Raw genomic sequence first — 13363 nt, 5'->3', positions numbered from 1 at the left:
GTTTTTGTTAAAATAAATGCTCTCAAATATATAGCCTCTTGTGTTTAAAAAATATGCCAGATCTAAAATGAGAACACTGGAGCACTTGAATGATTGGGCTATGTCAAACTACTAAGAATGTTCAAGCAACATCATTTTACCATAAGCCATCATTGTACAGAAACAGTGGCTGAAAACACTTCTGTCCCTTTTAAAAATCATTTTTCTGCTTCTTTTGTCATTAGTTCTATCAGTTATTCCAGCTATTATTTCATCTGTACTTGCCTTTCTGAAGGGAACTAGTAATTTCATTGTGCCTAAAACATTTCAATGGACAAGTACAAATTATATATATTCAGTGATTTAATGCAACAGTGGAACTCTAATAGATCGTATCTGTATCATATTGTATTTTAAGTTCCAGCAATTAAATAATAGAAAGGCACTCGAGAAAATATATCTACAGCTCATTTGTTTGAGATGATAATCCATAATGCAATTAATTGCTGCAGGAAGATCACTATTAATGATATGACTTGAAACATTCATTCATGGTTTTATTGCTTTTTTGCTATTTATTTTGCAGTTATTCATGGCAGTACCTTGCATGTTCTCTTGTACAAAGTTCTGTTTAAAATTAATGAAAAAGCATGTTTATCTCTGTATATATAAATGAATTATAAAATCATATTTACAAAAAATAATTAACTTGTGACTAATGGAAAAAGTTTAAAGGCCAGAGATCAATGGCTTCTATTTTATTTCCTTTCTAGGGAGTCAGGGGCACAAGAAAGGGGCAAGAACACCCAAGGTACCAAAACAGGGTGGCATGAACTGGGCAGACCTGCTTCCTCCTCCCCCAGCACATCCTCCTCCACACAGCAATAGCGAAGAGTACAACATTTCTGTAGATGAAAGGTAAGAGGAGCATCCAAACAGATGTAAACAGTGTAATATGATTGTTTCAGCCCATTTTCAGCAATTATTATACTAGGTGGTCAAGAGAAGACTGATTCCTAAGGTCCACAAACAGTTGCCTTTAAATAAAATAGTGCTGGTCAGCAGGAAGTAAAAATTCTCCTTGCTGCTTCCAAAAAAGCAATCTGTGCTTTGAAAGATTCTTTTGGAACTTAGAATGGAATATAAAAATGATACATATTAGCTCATGTATCTATCCTGTGTGTGTATACGTAATTTAACATATGGATATATAATTTTGTGATTTTTGAGTATTAGAACTTCTGTGACAGGTCTTGAAATTTTTGAAAGATAATCGTGTGAATTTATACCACAACGATGGGATCCTGAAGGCTATTTGTTCTTAGATATTATCACCTTATGCTGAGAACTCTGTAGAAATGTAAACTTTACTGGATTGTTTCTCCCAAAGACTTAACAAGTATAATAATCCACATGATAGCAATTAGGAAGCTAGTGTACCTCTTTCTCACTCCAGAATCTGTAGAACTGGACATGGTACCACCAAATGAAACAAAACAGCTGCTTCTTTAACATAACCAAAGGGGGAAAACTCCTTTAAGGTGGAGAATTAACGAATAAATCGTAAAATATACCTGAAAATACAGTTTTTTCTGTGACTGCTGTAAAGACATCATTCCTTCATTCTCCACACACAGAGAAGTGTATTACTATGCCCAGAAACAAAGCCTCTGTGCTTCAGGTTTCTAATAATCTTTTTATAAAATGCATTTTTAAGTAAAATTCTTATATAAAAATATTGACAGGGAAATCTCATTATCCACAATATTTATGTGTTTTAAAATTCTTGTGAACAGTGAGTTAGCAAATGTTGAACCATTCATTGGGCCTAGGAGAAATACAGGGCTAGGTTCCTTCTAACCTCTAGCCACAACATATTTGTCCACTGACCAATACATAACCTTGTTTTATGTATGTGTTTTTAAAGAGGCTTATTTAATATATATTGTTCATTTATTAACATGGAACCCAATAAGCCATGCCTCAGCAAAGCTGATTTCGTAGATATATTTCTTTAAGGCACATTACAGCCTTCTAGGGCGTGGAAACACTAACAAGCCCTTCAGCACTTCTTTTGAGGGCCATTTTAAGCAGGGAAATCACTAATATAAAGCTTAAAACATTTCGACAAACATGGCACTAAATAAACCATGAAAAGGACGCTTGTTTACCGTGTGAGAACTGACACAAGAAAGCAAAGTGTATCCTTGTTTTACCTCAGCTGGGAACATGCACATCAGGCGCTCAAATTTTTGGCCTCTTTGTGAGTCTGTGGGAATATGACCATGAAAATGCCACAGATACCAATTTGGGGGTTTACAAATAAATTACACCAAGTCAGCGAATTTGCAGATATGGAATCTGCAAGTAATGAAAACGAAACTGTATGTTTGGTTTGGTTTGGTTTGGTTTGGTTTGGTTGGTTTGGTTTTGTTTTTAGAAACAGGGACTCACCCCAGAGCTCGAGTGATCCTCCCATCTCAGCCTCCCAAGTAGCTGAGACTACAGGCTTGTACCACAGCACCCAGCTAAGTTTATTTTTATTTTTTTGTAGAGATGATATTTCACTGTGTTGCCCAGGCTGTTCTCGAACTCCTGATCTCAAGCGATCGTCCCGCCTCAGCCTCCCAAAGTGCTGGGATTGCAGGCAGGCATGAGCCATTCCACTTGGCCTGAATGCATTTCCCAAGCTATTTTAACAACATTCATTGCTGCTTTCATTCACAAAAATAAGAGGACTAAAATGAAATAAGTGAATATAGGTTTTTTTTAAAAAAAAAGCAATATAGGAGCTGCAACTGTGCCCCAAGGAGAAAGACTGATTCTAACTGAGAAGAATGAAGGTTTCGTGATTGGCTACATTTGTTCTTGATCTGGACAAATGAGAAGGTTCTCAGTTAAGAAGAAGGGGTTTTATGGACATGGGACCACACAGATGTGGTCTCCTGGAAAACTAACATGAAACACACGGTAGGGAACGAGACGAAGCTGAGACAGCAAATGTAAGCCAGATTATGCAGATACTCGAGTGTTTTGCTTAGTCATTTATATTTTATTCTCTAAACAATTAGAGAGCCATTTCTTATTTTGAAGAGCACATGAATAGCCAGCATGTGATGCATATTAGTGTAATTTTGGAAGCAATGGAGTGACTGGGAGGCTAGGAGACCAATTAAAAGATTGTTGCAGTAGCACATACAAGAAATAAAAATTAGAGAATAGATTCTAGAGAGTTTTTATTGACAGAATAGAAATGAATTGGGGAGTAGTTTGAGGGAGAAGAAAGAAGTCAAAGATAACTAAAACATTTCTAGTTTGGATAAGTAGGCAAGTTGCTCAGCTGTTTGTTAATAAAGGAAACATAAGAAAGAGGCAAAGAGGGAGATAGTGAGATTAGGAAAGTAAAGAAAGATGCAAAGAAATATTATTTGAGCATCAACTTTCCTGAGTTCAGGTAAACAAGGTGGATGGTAGAGAATGAACAAGGGAAATGGGTCCACAGTTTATATAATGTAGTACTTCATTGCCCTTATAATCGATAAACATACGCCCTGGGATAAGAGAAAAGAGAAAGGCATGAATGTTCCCCAGATCCATCGTGCTTCCCACCCATCTCCAGCAGAGGAGTAGGGCATTTTATTGTTGAATGGTGTTGTGTTTTTCACTCACCAGCCTAAATGCAAGCCAACAACTTCATTTTGTTTTCAGCTGAAGAAATAGTGATCTACTATAATTTCAGAGAAAAAAAAATGGGTTGTATTGGACTGAACAGGTTGACCTCCATTATATCTTTCTCTGCAAAGATTGTTAAGAGTAATTTTTCTTGGCTGGGCACAGTGGCTCACGCCTGTAATCCCAGCACTTTGGGAGGCTGAGGCGGATGGATCACTTGAAGTCAGCAGTTCGAGACCAGCCTAACCAACATGGTGAAACCCCATCTCTACTAAAAATACAAAAATTAACTGGGCATGGTGATGAGCACCTGTAATCCCAGCTACTCAGGAGGCTGAGCCAAAAGAATTGCTTGAACCTGGGAGGTGGAGGTTGCGTTGAGCTGAGATTGTGCCATTGCACTCCAGCCTGGGCAACAAGAGCGAAACTCCATCTCAAAAAAAAAAAAAAAAGAGTAATTTTTCTCTAAATGTAGCAGCTCATCTTCAGGTCCTCTGTAATACCATCTTTGAGTCTTTTAGAGAACATATTGGAGGGACAAAATATACCAAATACATTTGGGCTGTACTAAATTAAGCCATGTTAAGTGAATTTTTTTATTGCATGACTTCTAAGACCCTATAACATGCTAATGTCAATTACAATCCCTTAGAGAAAAATAGTTTATGCAGTAATTCACAAACCTTGTGAGGTAAAACCTTTTTCAATAATATCTCCTTAATGTGACTGAGAACGTTCAGATTTGAAAAACAATTTAAAGGTGACATTTCATTACTATCCAAATAGTTTATTTGAATAACCTGAAGTAAGTCTACACATCCTTATCATTTATTTTAGCTATGACCAAGAAATGCCATGTCCCGTGCCACCAGCAAGGATGTATTTGCAACAAGATGAATTAGAAGAGGAGGAAGATGAACGAGGCCCCACTCCCCCTGTTCGGGGAGCAGCTTCTTCTCCAGCTGCCGTGTCCTATAGCCATCAGTCCACTGCCACTCTGACTCCCTCCCCACAGGAAGAACTCCAGCCCATGTTACAGGATTGTCCAGAGGAGACTGGCCACATGCAGCACCAGCCCGACAGGAGGTATGTTGTCACTAGCCTTCTTTGCTAACAAATCAGATAATTTCTACTCCTCAGTGGAAGTTACCAAATGCTATCCCACGAAGTAATTTTCTTGTCTCATAAGCCTTTTCTGGCAGTATCATCCCATAGTAAACCCAGGCAATTAACATATGAAGTCATATTGTTGACCATTGCATTAGATTAATTGATCCTAGTGAACTTGCAACCGTAAAATAATGTGTATTAATACTCACCCACTTACAACTATTACATTCATAACCACATGGAGATCATGTATATGGTTTGCTAACTCTGTATCATATTATTGACAGTGGGTATTTTTGTACTTTAGTGTTCCTTTTGTATCAATAAGTCACTTCTTTGGTCAGCAGAAAACAGATTTTCTCCTGTCTTTTAAAATTAAGTTTACATAATAATGTATTCCCTCATAACTATAATGTCACAGAAGAATGAGTTTCTCATAGTCTTTTTGTGTTGACCTCAGCTACCTTTGATTTAGATATGAGTTTTGAGTAGTTTAGTCAGATTATTATATAGTGTGTGTGTGTGTGTGTGTGTGTGTGTATGTGTGTGCTTGTGTGTGCTTAGACTTTTTTAAACCTATGTATTGAGCATCCCCAACCAATACGTATTTGTTATATACAATGGCTTCACTTCGCATTTCTACCACATAAAAGCTGTTCCTGCACCATTTTAGCTCTTCTCTCATTGTTGATGATTTTATTTATACTGTTTTTTTGCCCTTGACACATTATATGTATACATTATTTTCTGTATTCCTAATATCATTTGAAATTGAGTATATTATTTGCCTCAGAAGAGGTTCCTTTGATATTCTCGAATGAATAACAAACTGCGATTTTTGTGGCTTGAATTTTACTCTGTAGATTAAAACAGAATTTTGCAATGTTTATTAACTCTTCTATTACCAGATTCAAATTACATACACTGTAAAAACAAGAAAGTAGTTAAGCTTTCTTCTATCTGGCAGTGAGGAAGTTGGATTGTCAGACATTTTAAAGTAATATTATTAACCCATGGAATGTTACGAAAATTGAGAGCAAATAAGGCACTTCTTTCCCATATTAAAGTCACAGACCATCCATGCTACTCTTATTAGAAGCCAATGAGAGACTAAAAGAGACCATTTAGCTCTGAAATATCTAAGCATTGTTTTTTTTGTTCCCTTGTCTTACCTTTTTTCCTCACCATTCCTGTCTCTATTCTCAGGGTACCCAATATTTTCTTTCTGGCTAGCTCTTCTTTTGTATCTCTTATGTCCTCCTTTCCACCTTCCTTGATAACAGAAATCGGTTTTCCTTTATCTGTCTGGAATGTCCAGCCTCTTCCTCTTCATTCAGTTCTCCTTCTCTTCTTGGTTAACTCAGCTCCCTTCATGCCTTCCTCTTCCTTGGCCTCCCTTCTGGCTCCATGCTCTCTCCCGCTGCTTCATTTTGTTGAACTCCTTCTGCCTTCCTGATTCGCATTCGCACCTCAGCCCACTGCATTCTGGCTTATAACGTTTTGCTTTGATCAGTCCATTGAAAGTAACCTCCTAATGGTCAAATGTAAAGACTTCTCAGTTTGTATCATACTTATGCTTTCTGCCATGATGGCCATTTTATAAATTGTTGTGAGAATCAATGGATAATGTGTGTAAAGCATCTGAAGCAGGGTAAGTATTCAAAAATATTAATGCCCTACAGCCCTCGCCTTTACGCCATCATCCCGTTGCTTTGTTCAACTCTTATATTCTGTTGGCTATCGAATTTCTTTACCCAGGCTAGTCCCTTCTCCTGAATGCCACAATATTTCCAGTTGAACTTCACCATGTGTCTAAATCCAAATTCTTTGTCTTTGGACTTGACTCTTTAAACTTATCTTTTCTTTTACTTTGATGGCTGTCTTGTTTAGAATTTTCAACCATTATTTATTTGACCAATGTTTTAAAATAAGATGGCTGAGGAAATAGGCAAAAATCATAAACAATACCTTTGTCATTTTGAAATCAGCTTAGTTATCCTCCTATTTAGTTTTTTCCTAGCATTCTACAAATGAGGTTATTCATGAAGTCACTTTAATCCAAAATGGCCCTTGATTTTGCTCCTTAGTTTCCATTCCTACAGCTGCTAGGGCAGGCCCTCCATCCCTGTCCCATGAAATCCACCTTATCCTTAAATGGATTCCACTTTTCTTCTCTGTTTTTCTGTTCATTCTCACAGTATTTTTATTTGCACACAAGAAGTCTGGTAATGTTCCCCCATTCAGAGTCAAGTTAGTGTTTAACCCAGTATTTAAAGGTTTTCACAATCCTTTTCCCTTTATTTACTTTCCCCCCAATTTCATCACATACACTCTTTTCTAATAAGTCTGTTTTAAAGTTCCTAAATTTGCCTGAAACTCATCAACATCCAGGTCTTCTACATGCTCTTTTCTGATTGCCTGGTAAGCATCCCTCATCTTTCAAAGCCCTATTCAAAGGACACGTCCTCTGCTTGCCTGGCAAAAGTCAACCCCTCTTCTTTACTCTTCATAAGAGTCTGTTCCCATCCCTGTTACCACACTAACCAGTTTTCATATTGCATTAGTATTTGCTGTTCGTATCTCTGTTTTCCTATTTAAATTAAAAGTTCTTTGAAGGCAGAACTCATCTCGTTCATGTCATTGAGTTCCACAGAGCTTTCTTCAGTAAAGTATTTGATGAATGGAATCGGATACTATGGAATAATTGGAGTTGACCTACTGTCTATTGTTTCAGGCAAATGGATGCTTGTAGAACTTGAGGCAGATATATGTAATTGGGTAATACATTAACTATGTGCACTTACAATCAATTTGACTATTTTCAGCCTTTCTCAAAGGTATGATTTTCAATCTGTAAGGGTATTATGGATTTTATTTCCAGGGTCATTGCTGGAAATAACACTGGGCACTAATAAAAAGTAAGTGAAAGCCCATTTTTAAAAAGTGCTTTAACTGCTTTTTTATGATTAATGTATATTCTATATGTTTACTATAGAAATTTTTGAAAATACATATAAACAAAATGAAAATATAAAAGTCCCAGTGATCTATGTAATCAAAAAAATCACTGTGAAGACCTCAATAAAGATCCTTTCAATCTTTCTTCTCTACTTATATATTGCTTGGATTTATGATACGCCAATATTATTTTATAAACTACCCTTTTCACTGAACAGCATTTTTTCACGTTGTTATCTTTTTATTTAGACACTTGTGTAAAGTGTGTAACTCTATTTAACCAACTCCTTAATATTGGCCATTTTAATTGTATCTACCTTTTTTGATACTATATACAATGTTGTGATTTCCATCTTAAGTATTTGAATGAAGTCTCCTCTTGATCCCTTGATCTATTCTAATGTCTGCCCCATCAGTAGATGACTTCTGATTCTTATCATTCTTCCATTTCCCTAATGGTACACTCATAGATATAGATAGCTATTTCTCTACAAATCTCTTTCTGGAGCTTCCGACCCATATATCCAACTACTTATTCCTGTAGGTTTTTACTGCCTAAATATCATTCTGAGTGATACACATATCTCCAGCCATAAATGCACTTTCCTAGTTCCGACAGCCGTTTTCTCTCACCTGCATTACAGTAATGTTCTGCTAAGTGGTCTTGTTGCTTCAGCCTTGCTCCTCCTTCAGTCTAATTCCTTGCTGCAGACTGTGCAGAGGCATTTTCCTAAATTGAAACACTGATCAAGTCTCTCCATTGCTTAAGATCTCTCAATGGCTTCCCATTTTTCTTAAAATAAAAGCAGGGTTCCTTAATGTAGCAATCAAAGCCCTTTGTGATCTGACCCCTGTGTGCCCTACCATCCTTACCCATTGCTACTCCCCGAACAATGTCTGTGATGTCTTCACTCTAAGTTTCTTCTAGTTCCTGGAATAAGCACAATTCTCACTCACCTCAATATCTTTGCACATGCTCTCCCATCTTCCTGGAACACCATTTTCTCCTCTCCTTTTGGAGCTAACACCTATGTATCCTTTAGATCCAAGATTAAATGGCAGATCCTCCTCAGTAAATCTTTCCCTGATGTCCCAACTTTGGGATAGGAGCCATATTTATGTGTTCCCGCAACACTCTATATATCCTCTGTCATTGCATATTTAATTATTTGTCTCCTCCACTAGACTAAAGTCCCTTTAGACATGGATATCTATTTCATTTAGCTGAATTCCTAACATAGTGCCCGAGTTCCTGTTTCTATTGCTGTCTAACAAACCACTCCAAAATGTAGTGACCTAAAGTAATCTAATCATTTTATTCACAATCCCATGAGTCAGGAATTCTGAAAGGATTCAGCTGGACAATTCATCTCCAATCCATATGGCTTTAGTTGCTTGGCTGGGGATGGAAGATCTACTTCCAAGTTAGTTTCTTCACTCATGTGTCTGATGTCTCAGTGCTCCTTGACCTCTGTCTCTTTCCACATGGAGTCTTATCCTCCAGGTCTCACCATATAGTATGGACTTCTCATAACATGGGGTCTCAGGTTAATGGCAACTCTTTCATGGCAGCTGGCATCCAAAAGGCAGGAAGGGGAAGTTGCCAGGCCAGTTAACATTTAGAACTGGTGCATAGTCTTGCTTCTGCCACATTGAATTAAAGCAATCACAGAATCCATCCAGATTCGAGAGTGTTGAACTCATCTACCTCTCTTGATGGGAGAATGGCGAGTTCTCATTTCAGAATAGCATTTGGAATGGGAGATATTGCTATGGACATTTTGTAGAATACAGTCTGCCATGGCCAGATATGTAGCTTACATTAAGTATGTTTACCTTAAAATTGAATCCTTACCTGTCATAAAGCATAAAGCATGTTACCTAAGCTCTGTTTGCCTGTGATCTTTTTGGTATAAATCTAGCAGTCTTTACCATGGTAGGCTCACAGTAAATGTTTAAAGAATAAATACATTGATTACATTTATATTTATTGATAAGGGGTGCAGATAGTGTGATACATTAATAAAATTACTGAACTTAAACCATTATAACACTGCAAGTCGAATTATATAAACATTAAAGACCTGCATTATTATGAATATTTCAATTTTGGTATTATAATGAACTTCTAGGGTATTCCATTTTTGTCTAAAACTGGGTAAACTAGGTGATCAACATAATAGGAATTTGTCTTCTCTTTTTTTCAAACAATAGCTGGGAAAATAATATAATTAAACTTATTCAAATATGTTGTTTTAAAAAGTGATTGGTATGCTTAACTTTATTGCAGTATAGTAAAAGTCTCTAGAAAAGTAAAAATTATGTTCATATATGGAATACATGAACATTTACTTGTTTGATTAATACAGATAAGTTGAGGTAATAGTTACTTTTACAAGAAACTGAAGCTACACTGGTGTTAGAACAAAATCTCAAAGGTGTGCATTTTTCTCCTTTGTCTTTTGCCTGGTAAATGCTATATGGTGAATGGTATAAACACCTACTTTGATAAATTAATGACATCATTCCGCTTTTCTCTTGAACATGTTTATGAAGGCATCATTCTTGCAGGAGACTAGAGTGTTGCGATACACAGTCATATACTTATACATTATTTCAGAAGACATTGAAACCCCTCGGGGAGAAATCTAGAGGGTTGAGGTTCATTTGCGACAAGTCCCACTTGAGTGCAGCATCTTGAAATGGCTTTTTGTTTTCCAATAGAATGTATTACATATTTCAAACTGTACATGTTTATCACACATTCCCTGGGCTTGCCTTATTTACAGATGGTTTGAATAAATTTTTCTGTCTTTCTTCAATATTTGTAAAGGGTGGTTGTAGTTAAAAGCCAGCCCTTGTTTTACATGAAGATGTATTTGCTCTACAGAATGTGCATTATCCAAACACAACAATGCTGGCATCCTTTCATAGTGAAGTCGGCCATTCTGCATCTTTCTTTATTGATGGTCAAAATAGTCTCCTTTGTGCTAAAAAGTCTTACATGTCTTTAAGAAGGAAGAAGTTTCTTGTGGTATTTTGGGTTTGTATGCTGACAAAGACTGTAAATTAACTTTTAAGTGTGGTATTTTATTGCATTCCAAATTAAACAATGGTTTTCCTCCTATGTGTATAACACTCCATATTGAAACAATTATCTATTTTAATCTCTTAAATAACTTCAGCTTTGGCACATTTTTCATATTTCTCCTAGTGCCACACACAGACACTTTAAAAACCACCCAGAAATGAAAAATAATGCATTATATTAAAGAATGTTGTGTGTATATATAACAGATATATACACATAATAATATATAATTACATATATGTGTGTATATGCATACTTTTTCAATGTAATATATTAGCTTTTATTTCTTAGTTTTTTAATACATCTGTATATGGCACATATCTCTCCTAGCTTATATGTATACACACACACACACACACACACATATATATATATAATATATTTACACTTATATATGTGTGTGGAAGGTCATGCCCTTGGAAATAAACTTTGGTTTTAAATTCTGCATTTGATACATGTGATCTGTGGCAACTTTGGTAAGACCCTTAATCCCTCTGAATTTCAATATTCTCCCCTGTAAAATGATCATTTAAAAAGTAACTCAAAAAGTTATTGAATTAAATGAGTAAATCTTATAAAATATGCTTAGCTACAAAGTAAGTGCTCATTAAATGAGTTAATTGCAATATTTTTAATAATCATTTATTTTTAATGTTTTCCATTTCTATTGAACAGATTTATCAAAGTTCAAATTCATTGGGATAAAAAGCAGAAAATGTTTTTCTTCTTTTTTTTTGAGACGGAGTCTCCCTCTGTCGCCCAGGATGCAGTGCAGTGGCACGATCTTGGATCACTGCAACCTCCTCCTCCCGGGTTGGAACAATTCTCCTGCCTCAGCCTTCCGAGTAGCTGGGATTACAGGTGTCTGCCACCACACCCGGCTAATTTTTGTATTTTTAGTAGAGACGGGGTTTCGCCGTGTTGGCCAGGCTGGTCTTGAACTCCTGATGCCACCCACCTTGGCCTCCCAGAGTGCTGGGATTACAGGTGCACACCACCAAGCCCAGCTTGAAAACGTTTTTCTTCAAAAAACTCCCATGCCACCCTAAAAACTGTGCCATATCAAAGTTATTTTTCCCTCTCTATAGTAGAGATCTTGGAGCAGATCCTACTGGTTTTAACTTTATTTAGATCTTGACCAGGTCCTGTATGGTTTTGTTTTGTTTGCTTGCTGTTAAAATCTAGTTCTATGAATTTAATGTCATGTAATTAATTTTTTTTTTTTTTTTTGAGACAGAGTCTCACTCTGTCACCCAGGCTAGAGTGCAATGGTTTGATCTTGGCTCACTGCAACCCCTGCCTCTCGGGTTCAAGTGATTCTCCTGCCTCAGCCTCCCGAGTAGCTGGGATTACAGGCATGCACCACCACACCCGGCTAATTTTTGTATTTTTAGTAGAGACAGGGTTTCGTCGTGTTGGCCAGGCTGGTCTCAAACTCCTGACCTCAGGTGATCCACCCACCTCAGCCTCTCAAAGTGCTGGGATTACAAGCATGAGCCACCACGCCCAGTCATTTCTGTTAATTTTAAAACCTCAATTGTGCATTCCCAGACATCCTTTGCCAAATGCCCTTTTCTGTGGCAATGGTGGCATGGAGAAAGTGATCATGTTCTGCTTTTAAATACCTCCCTCCACCTGCCTCTGCCAGGTGCATTCTCCTAGGGCTAAGGCAGGGAAGATGGAATGAGAAAAGGGAAAACTAGATGAGGATCCAGTCTTCTGCTTGGTTAGCTCTAAAGGCTATTCTTATCTCATCTTACTCTATGAGTATCATAAGGGTGCTAAAGGAGAGGTGCCGACATTCACTTATCCCACTGATGAAGGCCTCAATCCTGGGCACCATCTCTAGGCATTTGCAGTTCTTAAGTGATTTATCCATATCTTCAGGTAAACTACCAGTTGATGACATTCATGCTGTATCTCTCCTAGCCTCCCAAGCTGTGGAGGTCACCAGATGACCCTAGACCCTAATCTCAGCTGCTCTCCAATACCAGTGCTCAGTTTGGCAGCTTGTGTAGAATCTATCCTCTTTACTTCTCAGGAGTGCAAAATTTGATGAGGTGTTTTAATGACCTTTCCATCTGAAAGTCCTCCATATGTCATCTCTTTAACCTTGCTTAGAGAATATTAGGACTGTTGAGCAAGTCACTGACCAAGGACTCCTCCAACTAGAAATCCAACCATGTCTTCCTTTTTTGATGGCACTCTTTTAATTTAAGAGTTATTCTCTTAGCATTCTCCTCCCATGGGGATGACTTCCTTCCACGAATCTTGCTTCCTACTAAAGTCAAAATGCTCTATACCTTCTCGGTCATCTATTCACTGTGGATCATAGCCCTAGTGGTGTTAGTGGAAGGATGGCTTCTAGCTGTTGTTATTCTTCATGTCTGCAGAGAGTTGGTTGAAACCAATTAATTGGTAACTGTTTACCTATATTTTGGGAGACTACTTCATTTTGTCCTCAACTCTGGTTCTTAAATTAATTCCAGGACATAAGAAAAAATACCTTTAAATATATTTTTAAAAAAGATAGAATAACAATAAATGCAATAG

The 13363-nt window shown here is 37.1% G+C and overlaps 1 protein-coding gene across 18 annotated transcripts in view; it reads left to right on the top strand.

Moving 5' to 3' along the window:
• Positions 1-13363, top strand: part of ROBO1 (roundabout guidance receptor 1) — a 1170760-nt gene that overhangs the window by 1135941 nt on the left and 21456 nt on the right. For all 18 annotated transcript variants that reach the window (XM_017006982.2, XM_047448664.1, XM_047448661.1 and 15 more), the window contains 2 exons: positions 753-897; positions 4489-4737. In XM_017006982.2, the coding sequence (XP_016862471.1) occupies positions 753-897; positions 4489-4737 (394 nt within the window). The remainder of the gene's footprint in view (positions 1-752; positions 898-4488; positions 4738-13363) is intronic.

Source organism: Homo sapiens, chromosome 3 (genome assembly GCF_000001405.40).
Source record: "Homo sapiens chromosome 3, GRCh38.p14 Primary Assembly".
Lineage (NCBI taxonomy): Eukaryota > Metazoa > Chordata > Mammalia > Primates > Hominidae > Homo > Homo sapiens.
Note: the sequence above shows the minus strand (reverse complement) of the source record. Positions and strands in the feature narration are given on the sequence as shown.